The sequence below is a fragment of the Homo sapiens genome, chromosome 2 (genome assembly GCF_000001405.40).
Source record: "Homo sapiens chromosome 2, GRCh38.p14 Primary Assembly".
In the NCBI taxonomy this organism is placed as follows: domain Eukaryota; kingdom Metazoa; phylum Chordata; class Mammalia; order Primates; family Hominidae; genus Homo; species Homo sapiens.
In genome coordinates, this window is record NC_000002.12 from 99,512,874 (window position 1) to 99,531,623 (window position 18,750).

The window sequence follows — 18,750 nt, forward strand, 5'->3', positions numbered from 1 at the left end:
GAGGCCGAGGCAGGCGGATCACCTGAGGTCAGGAGTTCAAGACCAGCCTGGCCAACATGGCAAAACCCCGTCTCTACTATAGATAAAAAAATTAGCCAGGCATGGTGGCAGGTGCCTGTAATCCTAGCTACTGAGGAGGCTGAGGCAGGAAGAATTGCTTGAACCTGGGAGGTGGAGGTTGCAGTGAGCCGAGACCATGCCACTTCACTCCAGCCTGGGTGACAGAGTGAGACTCCATCTCAAAAAAAAAAAAAAAAAAATTATGTCAGGGATATCTGGGGAATTGGTAACAAACCTGTATAAGATTCAGGTAAATCTGTAAGACGGACTTAATTGTGAAGTTCTCCTTCAGGTAAAGGAAGGGGAGTGGCTAGGTTTAGAGTGTTGCAGTGATAGTGATGTTTGAAGGTGAAAGCATAGCGTTTGATAGGATGTCAGGCAGCTAGCTGAGAAATGCTGACTATTTTCCATTAATAAAGGAGTGTGTACATGAGAAACCATTAAGTTTCATGGAGAAACTAGAACTGAGCCACCTGAGGCTTCCATAAATATGCTGGTGCTGCTATAGTTCTTAGACAAGGTGACTACATCTTAGCTACTGGATCTAATGGGAAGACTGAAAAAAGGGCCTCTGATGGTTGTCAGGTAATTGGGTTAGTATTCCTAGTGTTTAGACTTTTAATAACAAAATAGGAAAAGGGTTTATGATAAAAAGGTGACCCCAGGTTTGGGGACTGTTGCAGAGACTTTTTTAGGTTTCGGAAGTCTTATTATATGAATCTTCCTAGAGTAAGAGGTTCAGGATCTAAGGACTTAATTCACGGAAAGGGGTAGCAATGGCAGAAGAGGTTGGCACCCATCACCCATAATATATAGTCACCCTAGGAACCCTCAAAGTTGCTTTGTAATAGTTCGTTTGGGAAAACTGAATAATTTGTAATTTTTATGCTGCGAGAGATTTGCCTTCTTTTGATGGTGTGTGCCCTAAATAATGAACATTTTGTTGTTGCTATTGTTGTTGTAGCAGAATTTTAATTTCTCTTTGAAGGCTTTATGTCTCTTCTGAATGAAGGTCTTTAATAAATACACCAAATCAGTCTTAAAGTTTTGCTCATTTTTTGAACATAGTAAAAGATCATCTACGTATTATATCTACATATTATATTAGAATAGACTCACAAGGAAATCTCAAATCCTTGCAGTCCCAATTAAGAACCTGAGAGAAATAAGAAAGGATCTTCAGTAAATCCCTGAGGCAAAACAGTCCAGGTACAGTATATTGTTGATTTTCCCATGAGAAGGGAAATAAATATTGACTGCCTAGATCTAATGGGATGCTAAAAAACATAAGCCCATCACAGTGAAGTGAGTGGCTTCGGGTAGTATTGAAGACAAAATAGAATTTGAATTAAGGACCACTGGGAAAAGAGGAATCACGATCTTATTTATGGACCTCTGGTCTTGCATAAATCAATATCTATGCCTGTGAGGTCTTTTACAGAGCAACACTGGAGTACTACAAGGGCTGGTGCAAGGAATAATGAATGAGTCCCTGTTTATAAAATCTTCCATCATGGGCCTTGATGCTTTCTTAGCTTCGGGCTTTAAAGGGTATTGAGCAAGAACAGGTAAAGGTTTAGAAAAGTCGGTTTCTGCTTTGATGGGCTTGGTCCCCAGAATGCTTCCCTTATCAGAACTCTTGTCCCAGAGAGAATCAAGTACCTTACGTAATTCCTCATATAGACATTGGGTTAAACGTACAAGGACAAACAAAGTGCCATATAAATTGCATTATTAAATGATTATGCCTGGGAGAGTTTTTAGGTGCTTTTAGAAATAGGCCATCTGAGGAACATTTGAGTTGACAGTTCCATTCACACAAAAGATTCCTCCTGGCCGGGCATGGTGGTTCACGCCTGTAATCCCAGCACTTTGGGAGGCCGAGGCAGGTGGATCATGAGGTCAGGAGATCTAGACCATCCTGGCTAACAGGATGAAACCCCGTCTCTACTAAAAATACAAAAAAATTAGCCGGGTGTGGTGGCAGATGCCAGTAGTCCCAGCTACTCAGGAGGCTGAGGCAGGAGAATGGCGTGAACCCGGGAGGCGGAGCTTGCAGTGAGCTTAGATTGCACCACTGCACTCCAGCCTAGGTGACAGAGCGAGACTCCGTCTCAAAAAAAAAAAAAAAGCATCCCTCCCAATGCAATATACTTGTGTGGTGTCACAGAGACGAAATACATGCTGACTAGTGAAGAGGCCAAGAATTACAGTTACAGGTTGCGTAATGGGAAGTGTTTGAGTGCTGTTTTGAAATTCCAGAATAGTTTAGTGACTTTAAGGAAGATGAGTAGGAATCATGGTAGAATTTATAGTAGACAGAGTAGCACCTGTACCTATCAGAAAGATTTGCTTTCTCCCTCTATTATTAAAGATAATCCTCCTTAATGATTTGAAGGAGAAATTGGGCACTATAATATTGCCCAGAGTCCCTTCATTATTCCTATTTAGAATAACAGGGAAGGAGCATTACTTCTGTTTCATTTTAGTTAAGATGGGTTACTTTTCCTAGTGCTCTCCCCTTTGTTAAGTGCAGTTGGCCCTCTGTATCTGTGGATGACACATCCATGGATGTAACCAACCTCAGATAAAAAAATTTGGAAAAAAATGAAAAACAATAATACAAAAATAAAAATACAAATTTAAAGAACAATGCAGTATAACAACATTGTATTAGGTATTATAAGCAATCTGGACATGATTTAAAGTATAGGGGAGAATTTGTATAGGTTATATGCAAGTAGTACACCATTTTATTTTAGAGACTTGAGCATCTGTGGATTTTGGTGTCTGCAGCAGGTCCTGGAACCAGTCCCCTTCGGATATCAAGGGAGGATTGTACAAGTAAGTGTTTTTGTCAAAGGGAAGGTTTTTACTGTCTCTTGAGGTAGAGGAGGATAGAAATAATTGCTTTAATTGTTACATGATGTGCTTTGTTTCTGTGTTTGTTTTCCTTCTGGGTATCTGAAGCATCTTCAAAATGTTCCACTAAATGTTGAAGTTCAGGCAATATGGTAATTTGTAAGCCATGTTTTTTGAGTTTACGTTCCATATCTGTCCAACAGAAAAGGTGGGAAGGGCACTAGAAATGCCAACATCAGGTGTTAACCTAGAACACTATCTAAATGTGCTCGTTAGTCTGTCACCAAAGTCCCTTTGGTGTCTCTTTTGCTATTTGCAAGATTGAATCAAGGTCCAGTTTACTTTCTTTATTATTTTTATTTTTAAAATTAAAACAAAATTATTGTAGTAATAGTGTTACCATTTTATTTTAGCAGGAAGGTCTTGTGTTATAATTCCAAGAGGTTGTCACCCATTTGCTGTATTTTAAGTACTCCCAATTGAGCAAAATGCATTTGATTTTTAAAAATTAAATTTTATGCATGAATTCACATGCAATTCTGAGAAATAATACAGATAAATTTCATGTATTCTTTACTCTGTTTCCTCCAATGGCAACATCTTGCAATTATAATACAATTTCACAAGATACTGACATTGATACAATCTACCCATCTTGGTCAGATATCCACAGTTTTACTTGTATGCATTTCTGTGGGTGTGTGTACTTAGTTCTATATGATTTTATAGGTAGGTGTAGGTTTGTGTATTCACCACTACAGTCAAGATATAGAACAGTTCCATTATCACAAGGATCCCCTTTGTTGTTCCTGGATAAACCCATCCACCTCTCTCCCACCCCTTTTCCCCAAACTTCTAACGTCTGGCAGCCAATAATCCATTCTCCATTTCTAAAATTGCATCATTTCAAAAATGCTATATAAATGAAATCCTACCGTGTGTAACCTTTTGAGATTGGCCTTTTTCACTCAGCTTACTTCTCTGGAGATTCATCCAGTTGTAGCATGTATCAAATAGTTTGTTCCTTTTTATTGCTGAGTCGTATTCCACTTCTACCAATTCACCCACTGAAGGACATCTAGGCTGTTTTCAGTTCTTGGCTCTAATGAAGAAAAATTGATATGAGGATACATGTACATGTTTTTGCACAAACATAAGTTTTCATTTATCTTAAATAAATGCCCAAGAATATAACTGCTGGGTCATATGGTTGTTGCATGTTTAGTTTTATAAGAAACTGCCAGTTTTCCAGAGCTGCCGTACTGTTTAACATTCCCACCAACAATGCATGAGTGATCTAGTTTCTCCACATCCTTGCTCACATTTTTTTTTTTTTTCTTGAGACAGCGTCTCTCTCTGTCTCCCAGGCTGGAGTGCAGTGGCACGATCTCGGCTCACTGCAACCTCCACCTCCTGGGTTCAAACAATTCTCCTGCCTCAGCCTCCAGAGTAGCTGGGACTACAGGCGCACAACACCATGCCCAGCTAATTTTAGTATTTTAGTAGAGACGGGGTTATACCATGTTGGCCAAGCTGGTCTCGAACTCCTGACCTCAGATAATCTGCCCGCCTCGGCCTCCCAAAGTGCTGGATTACAGGTGTGAACCACCAAGGAATCAACTTCTTTCCTGATGAAGCCATTGTTAGTTTTGAGTCTCTGTCACAGCAGCTGAAGCAAGATCCTAGCTAATTTTTGTTTTGAGCCTCCTTCGCCCGTGAGTGACAAAAATTCTGCCTCAGTCAACTTGCTTTCCCTCAGTTTTTTATAAATTTGAGGTTCTTCATGGGACCCGGGCACTTCAGGGTCCTGACAGTGTCCATCTACGCAGGCTGATCCTGCTGTCATCCATGCTGGCTGCCGGTCCACATCCATGTCCTCCCGAGGCCCAGGCACCTCCACACTTTTCCTCTCTGGGTTTGCTGCCTTCGTGGGCTGTGTTAGGGAGGAGGGCATGGCCACTTTCTGCTCTTGGCTCCCACACACGTGTCTAGGGGTTGCACTGTCTGTAGGGCTCTGACCTGGAGCCAGTTCCTGGGCCCTCCCTGGAACCCGTGTAAGTCAACACTCATACCATATCCTCAGCCACACTTCCCTCAGCCAGCCTGGGATCACTCTCTAGCCTCCAGCGAGGCAACCACTCTCCTGAAAGCCTACACTCCTACTCTTGTTAATTTTAGGGCTGTGCCCTAAAATCCTCTCCCCTTCCCTGGGGGTTTTGGCTTTTGGGTTTCCCTCTCTTTTAGCCGGACACATCTTTCTCGTGAGACGATGAGCACAGAATATTGAGAGTGCTTGAATTCTAAGGTGAGGACAGGTGATAAGTTTAAAAATGTGGGAAAACAACTGACAAATACCTCAAAAAGTATTATTCTAGCAGAAGAGGAAATATTTAATTCCTTATTGATTCTGCTGATATTCTGTATACGCTACCTAATTCTTCTCCTCCTTCCCTTCCTTCTTTTCCCCTTCTTCTTTTTTTTTTTTTTTTTTTTGAGAGAGGGTCTCGCTCTTTTGCCCAGGCTGGAGTGCAGTGTCACAATCTTGGCTCACTGCAAGCTCCGCCTCCTGGGTTCACGCCCTTCTCCTGCCTCAGCCTCCCGAGTAGCTGGGATTATAGGCGCCCACCACCATGCCCAGCTAATTTTTATATTTTTAGAAGAGACAGAGTCTTGCCATGTTGGCCAGGCTGGTGTCGAACTCCTGACCTCAGGTGATACGCTCGATTTGGCCTCCCAGAGTGCTGGGATTACAGCCGTGAGCCACTGCACCCGATCCAGAGTGAGTTTTGAAAGCTGATAAGGAATCGGCTGAGGGAAATTGGAGAAAAGTGGTCTAGGGAGTGGGAAGAGGGTACACCAAGGCATGGAGTCACTCAAGTGTGGCTTGTTCAAGAATCCCCAAGTAGGCTCAGCATAATGGGAGCCCTCCATGGCAAGAAGTGAGCAGGTTAAGAGAGGCAAGGGCCAGGTCACTAAGGCTCTTATGTATCAAAGAGTTGGATTTTCTTCTAAAGCAGTGGTTCTCAATGTGGGGTAATTTTGCCCCTCAGGAGACATTTGGCAATGTCTGGAGACAGTTTGCATTGTGACATCGTGGAGACAGGTTGCTGCTGGCATCTAATGGTCAAGAGGTTAAGGTCAGTAAACATCCTCCAACGCACAAGGATATCCCCACTCCCCACCTCACCCCCAGGACTGGCTACGTAATTTGTAAGGTCCAGTGCAAAGTGAAATTATGGGACCCCTTGTTCAAGAAGCAGGAAAAAGGTGCCTTTAAAAGCATTAAAGGCCGGGCATGGTGGCTTACGCCTGTAATCCCAGCACTTTGGGAGGCCGAGGCAGGCGGATCACCTGAGGTCAGGAGTTCGAGACCAGCCTGGCCAACATGGTGAAACCCTGTCTCTACTAAAAATGCAAAAATTAGCCAGGCGTGGTGGCAGGCGCCTGTAATCCCAGCTACTTGGGTGGCTGAGGCAGGAGAATTGCTTGAACCCGGGAGGCAGAGTTTGCAGTGAGGCAAGATGGTACCACTTCACTCCAGCCTGGGTGACAGAGTGAGACTCCATCTCAAAAAAAAAAAAAGTATTAAAATATAAGGCCAACGTAGTGGCTCACATCCATAATCCCAGTGCTTTGGGAGGCAGGAGGATCTCTTGAAGACAGCCTGGGCGACATAGCAAGATCCCGTCTCTACAAAAAATTTAAAAATTAGCCAGCATGGTAATTTTTACATGCCTGTAGTCCCAGCTACTCAGGAAGCTGAGGCAGGGGGATCATTCGGGGCTGCAGTGAGCTATGATCACACCACTGCACTTCAGTCTGAGTAATGGAGCAAGACCCTGTCTCTAAAATTTTTTAAAAAGTATTAAAACCTAAAGTTTTTTTTTCCCCTTTTTTCCATGGTCTCTTTTTATTTGTCATCACGGTGTTTTTTATTTGCTATTTAATGCTATTCTAAATACATAAAAACTTAAAAATTTAAACTATAAGCATGAATTTTACCATTTACCTTTTTATCACTCAATGCCAGTTTTAAATTGCAAACATAAGAATATTTAATCATCCGCAGAATCATCAAAATTAAGCTATTTGTATGTCATAGTTCGTACATGCATAGGTATTTTGTTCTTACCAGAACAGTAGAAATGGTGCACAAAACTCAGCCACCTGTTTTTATTTCACTTCTTCATATTGGCACATTCCACCAATCCTCTCTACCTTCTGCTTAGTAATGAGGGAGGAAAGGCTGAAAGGAAAAGGAACAGAGTTTCCCTTTCCTTCTATGTAGGGTTACCTGATGAAATATAGGATTCCTAGTTTAATTTGGATTTTGGGTAAACAGTAAATAAAAATGTATTATAAATATGTGCCATTATATATTTTGGGACATATTTATACTAAAAAATTATTTGCTGTTTATCTGAGATTCAAATTTAACAGGTATCTTGTATTTTTATTTGCTAAATTAAACCCTTCTTCTGTAACATCATTTTCAGCATAAGTAGTTGGCAAGTTCAGGGAAGTAACATTAGTAAGAAAGAGTATGTTGGAGTTTCTTGGCCATTTGCATTTCTTAGTAGCCATTGCCTGCTTTCTGCATTCAAAGCAGGGTGTGGTCGGAAAGCATCTTGGGGCTATCAGGGACCCTGTGTACTCAACTGCAAACTCAACACACTTATTTTGTACTTGCTCTGATTTTCACAGAACCTCCATGCATCATGGGTCCACCCGAACTCTGTGCGGTGGGGCACTGGGAACATTATATTGCAAATGGGGCAGCAATGGCCATGGCGTGCATACTGCTGTATCTGCTCTGCTCATGGGCACACTGCATCGTCCCATTGGATTTAACTTACAAAACACAAGTTTATTTATTTTTTTTGAGACAGAGTGTTGTTCTGTCGCCAGGCTGGAGTGCAGTGGCATGATCTTGGCTCACTGTAACCTCCATCTCCCGGGTTCAGGTGATTCTCCTGCCTCAGCTTCCCAAGTAGCTGGGACTACAGGTGTGCACCACCACACTCAGCTAATTTTTGTATTTTTAGTAGAGACTGGGTTTTGCCATGTTGGCCAGGCTGGTCTCTAACTCCTGACATCAGGTGATCCTTCCCCATCAGCCTCCCAGAGTGCTGAGATTACAGGTGTGAGTCATTGTGCCTGGCCACAAAACACATGTTTAAAGTTAAGATTATTAGAATGTCAAGATGCTGAAGCAGAGCAGGAAACCAGGAAGAGGGCCCTTCTGAGTACCCGGCCCTGTGGGACTGTGTGAGCTGCATGCCCACGAATCCAGCCCTGTATGTGGCCCAAAATGTCAATACTGCTGAGGTGGAGAAACCCTGTTCTAAAGGAAATAGAGAGCCATTGAAGGATTTTAAACAGTTAGAGAAGACTGAGTTTGGTGACGGGTGGCAACAAAAGATTATGCTTTAGAAGAATCTTTTGGACACACAGTGTAGCATTTGGGTCCAAGTAGGGGAGGAGTGGACTTGCATCTTTCTTGCAGGGGAGAGGATTAATATATTTTATTTTTTAATTTTTAATTTTTTTGAGATAGAGCCTCACTCTGTTGCCCAGGTTGGAGTGCAGTGGAGCGATCTCAGCTTACTGCAACCTCTGCCTCCCAGGTTCAAGTGTTTCTCCTGTCTCAGCCTCCTGAGTAGCTGGGATTACAGGTGCCCACCACTATGCCTGGCTAATTTTTGTATTTTTAGTAGAGACAGGGCTTCACCATGTTGGTCAGGCTGGTCTTGAACTTCTGACCTCAAGTGATCCACCTGCCTTGGCCTCCCAAAGTGCTGGGATTACAGGAGTCAGCCACTGTGCCCAGCCATTAATATATTTTAAAAAGTGTGGATTGAAAAAATTGCATGTAGTCAAATACCCTTAAAATCCCTTAGGAAGGTGCTGGGTGGTGAAAGTCACACCTGCTTGCCATGTGCTACACCCAACCAGGTTTCCTCCAGCTTGGGTGCAGATTGTTCATCCTTCAGTTGGGATGATGTGTGAAGTTGGGAGCTTATGTTTAGCATCTGTGTTGCATGAAAAATGTTTAAACACTGGAATTGCACTCAAGGTAGGGAGACGCTCATGCCACCAGCAGCCCACAGGTACTGAGACTGACTGGGAGGAGAGCAGACACTGGTCTCTGTACCATGCTCACTCTAGAGTGGCCAGTCATTGGCTCACCATACATACTGGTGGGTAGGATTAGCAGTGCCATTTAAATTGCTGCTCCAGCATCCATGATCTCCTTGCCCCATTTTGTAGCAGCCATGTTGTGTGGGGAACTGACCCCAACCCCTGCCCTAGGCATGGGTCCTGACTAGTCTAAGCCAACCAGGTTAGTTCTATCCCCTAGCCACAGTGATTGGCTTGAATAACACAGGCCTAAGTCACCAGACAATGGCGGTCCCATGGCCACAGCAAAGAAGTGGCCAACCAACTTGAAGCCAGGACTTCTGTTCCATGATTTGGACCTGCTTGCTTTCTCCTTCTTGGTGTAAACAAGGAGTACCAGTTGCCACTGGAAGCCATATTGTCATGATGAGGAAAGCCATGTCAGCAAAAAAGCCAACACATGAAGGAAGACAGAGCTGAATGTAAGAATTAAAGAAAGGAGAGAGAAACACGAAGGTGGCTTGACAGTCAACAGGTTTATTTCAGAAAACAAACCTGGGAGGGACTTCTGACCAAGTTGGGTTAGGAGCCACACCCACTTACAGACTAAGAGTTTTTAAGGATTCAGGGTGGGAGAGTTTATTAGAGTCTTGGACTGCTTCTGTGTCTCTTTGTTGTGCTTATCTGGGAGGCAGAATTGCATGTCTGTTCCCATACATCTTTCTGCAGCTGCAGGCATATCCCCCGAGTCGGCTTTTAGCTTCCCTATATCTTAGTGCACCTGATGGGAAAGGAATGTACTTATTAAGGCCCACTAAGTTTTACTGGGGCCCATTGTATGAGGGTGAAGTTTGGCAGTTACCAAGAGACTTTCTTCCCACCTCCCTCTGTGCCCAAGCTGTCTTATCTGTGTTTTACTATCTGCTTTTTCTGGCTGCTTGTAGCTAGAAGAGAAATAATTTCTGGCTGGGCGCGGTGGCTCACCCCTCTAATCCCAGCACTTTGGGAGGCCGAGGCAGGCAGATCATGAGGTCAAGAGATTGAGACCATCCTGGCCAACATGGTGAAACCCTGTCTCTACTAAAAATACAAAAATCAGCTGGGCATGGTGGCATGCACCTGTAGTCCCAACTACTCGGGAGGCTGAGGCAAGAGAATCGCTTGAACTCAGGAGGCAGAGGTTGCAGTGAGCCAAGATCCAGCCACTACTGGACTCCAGCGTGGTGACAGAGAGAGGCTCCGTCAAAAAAAAAAAAAAAAAAAAGGCCAGGTGCGGTGGCTCACACCTGTAATTCCAACACTTTGGGAAGCCGAGACGGGCGGATCACGAGGTCAGGAGATCGAGACCATCCTGGCTAACACGGTGAAACCCCGACTCTACTAAAAATATAAAAAATTAGCTGGGCGTTGTGTCCCAGCTACCTGGGAGGCTGAGGCAGGGGAATGGCGTGAACCCAGGAGGCGGAGCTTGCAGTGAGCTGAGATCACGCCACTGCACTCCAGCCTGGGCGACTGAGCCAGACTCCATCTGCAAAAAAAAAAAAAAAAAAAAAAAAGAAAAGAAAAAAAGAAGTAATTTCCTTGAAATAGATGAGGCTAGAAAGGGAGCTGGAATTTAAAGTGGTGGTGTTTGTCCAAGGTGACGGTGCTCCTGCTCTGTCAGAGAGAATTGCCAATAAATGAAGCCAAATCATTGACTGAATTATACCTTAAGCCTCTTCCCATTAAGCTCTTAACTTTGCATTACAATCCTCTTTATGGCTTACTCCAGTTTGAAGTAAACTGAAGTTGAGTTTTGTGATGTTCTCAAGCACAGGCATCCTGCCTTTCAAGCAGGACCCCACTGCACACACAAGATGAAAGGTGTGCCGTCTTGTTGAGGAAGAGAGAATGAACTCTCAGAGAAGGGGGAAAGGGGTTCTGCTGGGTGTTCTCAGTTGACTCATACCCATAACAGCTCCCTTTGGGGGTGTATTGTCACTATTGTATCCATCTTGTGGGAGGTTTTATGACTTACCCACAGTTACATGCCACAGTGAAGTTGAATAAAGATGACTCTATCACCCTGTGCAGATGACTTCCAGAGGTTTGATGGTCCTTGGGTGCCACAGCGAAGTAATATTGATGAGGCTTAGGATACATGAATGGGAAGGTTGTGCATAATGAGCCAGTGCACACTCAACATCTAGTGTGAACTGGAATAGTCAGAACTCCTCTCTCCTCCCCGGTCAACACTCCTCCCCTCTCCTGGTTTCTGCTTTGCTCTTAGCCAGTTCCCATGTGGTAGGCAGAATTCTTAATTGGCTTCCCAAGATTTTCCACCTTAATCCCTGGGCCTGTGACTTTAATGAGATTATCCGCCCATGATTATGTTGTGTTACTACTGGCAAAAGAGATTTTGAAGATGTAATTAAGGCTAATAATCATTTGGCTTAGAGTTAATCAAAAGGGAGATTATCCAAGTGGGCCTAACTTAATTACATCCTTTTTAAAAGCAGAGTTTTCTTTGGCTGGTGGCAGATGAGGAGGTCAGAGAGATTCAAAGCATGAGAAGGATTTGGCATGTCCTTGCTGGCTTTGAAGATAGAGGGACCACACTCAAGGACCAGAGAGAAGCCACAGTTGCTGACAGTGACCCTTCACCAACAGCCAGCAAGGAAATGGACCTCAGCCCTGTGGCTGCATGAAACTGAATTCTGCCAGCAACCCCCAAAGAACTTGGAAGTGTGTTCTTTCCCACAGCACCCAGATGAGAGCCCAGCCAAGCTGACACCCTGATTTCAGCCCCTGAGTAGAGAATCCAGTAGAGTCTGCCTGAACTTCTGACCCATAGAAATGTGAGATAATAAAAGGGTGTTGTTTTAAACCATTAAATTTCTAGTAATTCATCACAAAGCAATAGAAAACTAATACACTCCATTAAGGTGTCAGCTAGTAATTCCTCAAGTGCTTTTTATTAGGAGCTCTGGAGGTAGACAAACTTAAACATGCAAATGTATGAATCTCTATTTTAAGCACCTGGTTGAAGAGGAAGATATTTTGGGTTAAGAGGTATGTCTGGCATCTTATTTTCATTTATTTATTTATTTAGAGATGGAGTCTCACTCTGTCACCCAGGCTGGGGTGCAGTGGTATGATCTCGGCTCACTGCAACCTCCGCCTCCCATATTCAAGCGATTCTCCTGCCTCAGCTTATTGAATAGCTGGGATTACAGGCATGTGCCACCACACCCAGCTAATTTTTGTATTTTTAGTAGAGATGGGGTTTCACCATGTTGGTCAGGCTGGTCTCGAACCCCTGACCTCATCATCCGCCCACCTCGGCCTCCCAAAGTGCTGGGATTACAGGTGTGGGCCACCGCGCCCGGCCTATTTTCTTTCTTTAAAAGCTGAGACCGATGATGTGGGAGCAATCACACACCTCCTATGCATATATAAAAACCAGTAAGATCCTTAAAAATAGGTTTGGTTTCCAATCATTGTTAAGGTTTTCAGGCTGGGTGCGGTGGCTCACGGCTGTAATCCCAGCACTTTGGGAGGCCGAGGTGGGTGGATTGCGAGGTCAGGAGTTTGAGACCAGCCTGGCTAGCATGGTGAAACCCTGTCTCTACTAAAAATACAAAAATTAGCTGGACATGATGGCGCTCACCTGTTGTCCCAGCTACTCGGGAGTCTGAGGCAGGAGAATCGCTTGAACCCAGGAGGTAGAGGTTGCAGTGAGCCAAGATCGCACCACTGCACTCTGGCCTAGGCAACAAGAGCGAGACTCCATCCCGAAAAAAAAAATGTTAATAAAAGTTATAAATTGGGAAAGGCACAATTATAGCTTTGTGAACAGGCATATGTAACCCTGATAGGCGAAGGGGCTGTCTTAGTCTGTTTTGTGTTGCTATAACAAAATACCACTGACTGGGTAATTTACAAACAGTATAAATTTATTTGGTTCACTGTTCTGGAGGCTGAGAAGTCCAAGATCGAGGGGCCATATCTGGTGACAGCCTTCTTGCTGCCTTATACCATGATGGATAGAAGGAAGGGCAAGGGAGGGCGGGAGAGAAAGCATGAGGGTCAGACTCCCTTTTATAACATCAACTTTTTTTTTTTTTTGGAGACGGAGTCTTGCTCTGTCACCCAGGTTGGAGTGCAGAGGCGCGATCTTGGTTCACTGCAACCTCCGCCACCTGGGTTCAAGCAATTCTCCTGCCTCAGCCTCCCAAGTAGCTGGGATTACAGGCATGTGCCGCCACACCTAGCTAACTTTCTGTATTTTTAGTGGAGACAGGGTTTCACCATGTTGGCCAGGCTGGTCCGGAACTCCTCACCTCAGGTGATCCACCCGCTTCAGCCTCCCAAAGTGTTGGGATTATAGGTGTGAGCCACTGCTCCCAGCCCTCCCTTTTATAACATCTGGCTCCCTCAAGATAACTAACCCACCCCCAAGTTAACGACACTAATCCATTCACCTCTTATTAAGCCTCACCTTCCAACATTGTTGCATATTAAGTTTCCAACACATGAACTCTAGGGGACACATTCAAATCACAGGGGGGTCTGATATAGTAACCTGGGAAAAGATAAAAACAAAAAATATTCCTTGACCTGTCTAATGACCATTTTAGAGGTGAAATGCTGCATTTAGGTACTAAATAATTTAAGTCTAAAATACATATTCAAGTAATGCATTTTAATTTTTTTTTTTTTCTTGAGACAGAGTCTCACTCCGTCACCCAGGCTGGAGTGCAGTGGCTCAATCTCGGCTCACTGCAACCTCTGCCTCCTGGGTTCAAGTGATTCTCATGCCTCAGCCTCCCAAGTAGTTGGAATGACAGGCGTGCGTCACCACACCTGGCTGATTTTTGTGTTTGTAGTAGAGACGGGGTTCTGCCATGTTGGTCAGGCTGGTCTTGAAATCCTGACCTCAAGTGATCTACCCACCTCAGCCTCCCAAAGTGCTGGGATTACAGGCATGAGCCACTGCACCTGGCCAAGTAATCCATTTTAAATTGGTACAAATGAAAGCAAAGAGGCAAATGCATGTATTAGAGTTGCAGGGCCAGATTCTGCCCATGAGGGTTTGTAATTCTCTTTACCTGAGTCTGCAGGTGGAGTGCATGAGTGTTGCCAAGGGAAACATCTAGCCCTTTCCTTGTCAAACATTGCTCTGAAAGCCAATTCATATGTACTCTTAATTGAACACCCAGTAATTTCACAGTATGTGCAAAATATCATTAGGCTGGGGGGTTAGGTGGAAGGATGAACAGGCAGAGCACAGAGGATTTTTAGAGTGGTGAGGAAACTGATACATGTAATGGTAGATACATGTCAGTATACATTTGTCCAAACCCACAGGATGGACAACACCAAGAATGAACCCTGATATCAACTATGGACTCTGGGTAATGATAATGTATCAATGTAGGTTCATCAGTTGTAACAAATGGACCACTCTGGGGAGGGACTTTGATAATGGGGGAGGCTAGTCATGTGTGGGGGCAGAGGATATATGGGATATCTTTGCACTTCCTCTTAATTGTGTTGGGAACCTAAAACTGCTCTGAAAAATTAAGTCTTAAAGATTTGGACAGGAAAAAAAATACATCAGGCCTCAGGAAGCTGAAGAAGATGCCTTTTGACCTAATGTGCTGATCAGGACCCCTTTGCATCATAAATATACCAACTCCCAATTATTGCACCTCTGTCTCATGTAAATTTCCTTCCAATGTTAAGAGGAAATGCAGCCTGTTCAAAAGTTTTCTTTCTTTATGCGTGTCCCATAAATCAACAAACAGGTAAAAAGAAAAACCCACTGTTTTTCTAGACATTAAGAATGCAGAAGGCAGGAAATATCAACAAAGTCTCTTCATTCATTCATTCATTCAACAGAGAGCAGGACTCTGCACAGCACACCACAGGCCGCCTCATTGGTTTTGGAGGTCAAGCTGGCTCATGGGGCTTCCCAAAGTCTAGGACCCTGGATCATCAATCCTAATGTAAAAGCCTGCATCTGTGAGTCCGTACTCCTGTCAATTCCTCTTCCTGTTCAGAGCCTCCCTGCATCTTACTTTCTGTGCACTCCGCAACTACCTCTTCTACTGCCTAATTGTTGACCTCAGATGTAGAATTTTCTTTCTCTTTTTTTTTTTTTTTTTTGAGATGGAGACTCCCTCTGTTGCCTAGGCTGGAGTGCAGTGGCACAGTCTCGGCTCACTGCAACCTCCACCTTCCAGGTTCAAGCGAGTCTTCTGCCTCAGCCTCCCAAGTAGCTGGGACTACAGGCACGTGCCACTATGCCCGGCTGATTTTTGTATTTTCAGTAGAGACGGGGTTTCACCATATTGGCCAGGCTGGTCTTGAACTCCTGACCTTGTGATCCACCTGCCTTGGCCTCCCAAAGTGCTGGGATTACAGGCGTGAGCCACCGTGCCTGGCCAAGATGCAGAATTTTCAAGTCACCAACTGTTTGGAGATTCTCAGGCCAAACCTGTCCATTTTCAGAATGAGTCTTTCATAGAAAGATACGAAGCGGCAATCCAGTGGGAAAGGATTGGTGGGCACAGATTCAGCCTGTGTGCCCTGTTAGAATTTGTCAGACTGTCGTGATCATTCAACCAGATAGAAGGGGCCTCCCTGAAGGTGGGAAATTATTTTCCTGACATCAGACATTCATCTTAGCATGGATGACGGCTCCTTCCTCTCCATCTTAATGAATCCATGTGAATTAAAAGAAATCAGGCAGATCTAAAGACGTCATTCAACTGTGTTTCCCTTCCTTGCTCCCTCCCTGCCTCTTCTCTCTTTCTTCCTTCCCTCCCTCTCTGCCTCCCTCATCTCCTTTCTCCTCCCTCCCTTCTTCTTCCCCTCTAGGGCTCAAGCGTGCACCATGGTCAACAGGTCTCTCCCTTACTACCCTGAGCTGTAGAGAAAGAGGCTGGGACCACAAAGAGGTGGCAGAGGGAAGAGAATCCACAGAAACCTCTAACAGTCCTCATTTTTCCTGGCCAGTCTGAGGTTGGGTTATGTGGCTATAGAGGAGAACAGAATGAGAACCTGTCCCTGCTTTACTCAGTGATTTCTTCATCGTGTTCTGGACCATTTGGAAGCTCCATGAGTGGAGTGAAGGAGAGAGGCTGAGCACCATCCCCGCTGCCCTCAGCTGTGTGACCATGAAGAAGTTGCATGTTTCCAGTTTCACCATGTGTAAGCCAACCTTACACCAGATAGGGAGCCCTAGCTTCCTGCCCCACTTGTTGCAAGGGCTCAGTCAATGGCAGGCCTGTGTGCAATGGGTTATTACATGAAATGCCAGTGCGGAAGGGATTGTAGGGGTCATTGAGCCCAACTGCTTGACCTTCCTGATGTGGAGACCACAGCCCAGAGAAGTTAATGCACTTTTCAAGGTCACAGGTGTTATTTAGTGGCACCATCCCCTGGGCCTCAGAGTCCTCGGCTGGAATTGTCAGCGCTTCCTAAACCCTTCTTGGAGTGAATACTCCAGAACCATTGAAATATGCATTTGCGTCTTCCATATTTTCTTTGATATGTGTACTGGCCATTGCTGAATACAGGGTTTGAAGCTATCTTTTTTACACCGAAACAAAACAGAATAAAACAAAACAACCCATTCAAGATGATTTACAAATTGAAGGCACCTAATAATAATACCTCGCATTTTTGGAGAGCTTTTTATTTGCAGAACACTTCCCAGACAGTAACTAATGAATTCTCCAACTCCCCTTAGGAATAGTGACATATGCATTCCCACGCACACTAGGAACTTAATTTACATGAAACGAAGAAAAAGTCATTATAAAGTGGCATTCCCCTAAATCATAATTACAACCTTCAGCCCAAGATAAACATGCTGAACCCTCCCAGGGATGCTGCGATGTTCACCCACTGCGGGGGTCTCCACTTCGATCCCAGCGCTGCCTGCATAAGGAGGACAGACCAGGAGTATTCACACAAAGTCAGTTCTCTCTGGGATCAAGGTCCCATTTTCCAGCCAAACAACTGGAGGTTAATGGCTTGTTAGGGGGCAAGTGCTGGGGCAGTGGTCTCCTTCTGTCAATTAAAAAGAAGACAGAGTGATGGGATGTCATGGAGGTGCCAGGGACTCGTGTGTGAACCGGGAATGTGGGTTTTTACAAAGAGGAGTCTGGAGGTGGACCTCCAGGAGTTTTTGGTCCCTGAGGGAGGGGCAGCAGTCTTCCCGGCACTTCATGAACCACATACTGGCTGTTGCTGCCTTCGCCTCCCCAGGGGGCTGGTCCCATGCTCTGGCGGCCAGGCTCAGGCATCCACCTGTCCACTCAGTGCCCTGGCCCCCTGCCGTGGGTCTTGCCTTATTTAGCACAAATAACCCTCAGTGCATTGTGATGACATCAGCCACCAATGTCGATGTCTCCATGTACCACATTTGACATGTCCCAGGCTAAATAGCTGCTTTTTTTTTTTTTTTTTGAGATGGAGTTTCACTCTGTTGCCCAAGCTGGAGTGCTGTGGTGTGATCTCGGCTCACGGCAAGCTATGCCTCCTGGGTTGAAGCGATTCTCCTGCCTCAGCCTCCCGAGTAGCTGGGATTACAGGCACCCGCCACCATGCCTGGCTAATTTTTGTATTTTTAGTAGAGACGGGGGTTTCACCATGTTGGCCAGGCTGGTCTGGAACTCCTGGCCTCAGGTGATCCGCCCACCTCAGCCTCGCAAACTGCTGGGCTTCCAGGCGTGAGCCACCGCGCCCGGCCAATGGCTGCTTTCTTAACGGCACAATGACTAAATGTGGAACTGCTCCTCTCTGGTCAGCAGGCACATTGAGAATGGGTCCCAGGGGGAGGACTGCACCCTTTTACCTGCTCCTCATCCCTCAGCCTTTTCCTGCCCATGGCTGATGCCAAGCGCCCCAGGCTCTGGACTCTGGGCTGTCCTGAGTCAGAAGCCACATCTCAGCCCAGGTGGCTCAGTCCACCCTCCTTGTGCTGCTCCAGCTCATGTGTCCCCGCATTAATAAGTGGCTTCTGGCCGGGTGCGGTGGCTCACGCCTGTAATCCCAGCACTTTGGGAGGCCCAGGGGGGCGGATCACGAGGTCAGGAGATCGAGACTATCCTGGCTAACACGGTGAAACCCCGTCTCTACAAAAAATACAAAAAATTAGCCGGGCGTGGTGGCGCGCGCCTGTAGTCCCAGCTACTTGGGAGGCGGAGGCAGGAAAATGGCGTGAACCCAGAAGGCGGAGCTTGCAGTGAGCTGAGATTGCACCACTGCAATCCAGCCTGGGTGACAAAGCGAGACTCTGTCTCAAAAAGTAAAAATAATAATAATTAAAAAAATTAAAAAATAAGTGGCTTCTGGCCAGGCATGGTGGGCGGATTGCCTGAGGTCAGGAGTTCCAGACCAGCCTGGCCAACATGGTGAAACCCTGTCTCTACTAAAAACACAAAAATTAGCCAGGCGTGGTGGCACAAGCATGTAATCCCAGCTACATGGGAGGCTGAGGCAGGAGAATCACTTGAACCAGGGAGGCAGATGTTGCTGTGAGCTGAGGTTGAGCTACTGCACTCCAGCCTGGGTGACAGATCGGGACTCCACCTCAAAAAAAAAAAAAAAAAAAAAAAAAAGGTGGCTTCTGCCCTTGTTCCTGGACTAGGTTCCTGGTTCATACCCAGCATAGGATGTACTGTGTTGACCCGCAGTGGGTCGGAACCATCTGGC

At 45.3% G+C, this 18,750-nt stretch overlaps 1 annotated feature.

The window, feature by feature from the left end:
* Positions 16,796-17,423: an enhancer, noted in NCBI's record as "H3K4me1 hESC enhancer chr2:100146131-100146758 (GRCh37/hg19 assembly coordinates)". NCBI's record gives its function as "activates a minimal SCP1, AML or CMV promoter by ChIP-STARR-seq in naive H9 embryonic stem cells {active_cell/tissue: H9 hESC(naive)}" and the evidence as "EXISTENCE:reporter gene assay evidence [ECO:0000049][PMID:30033119]".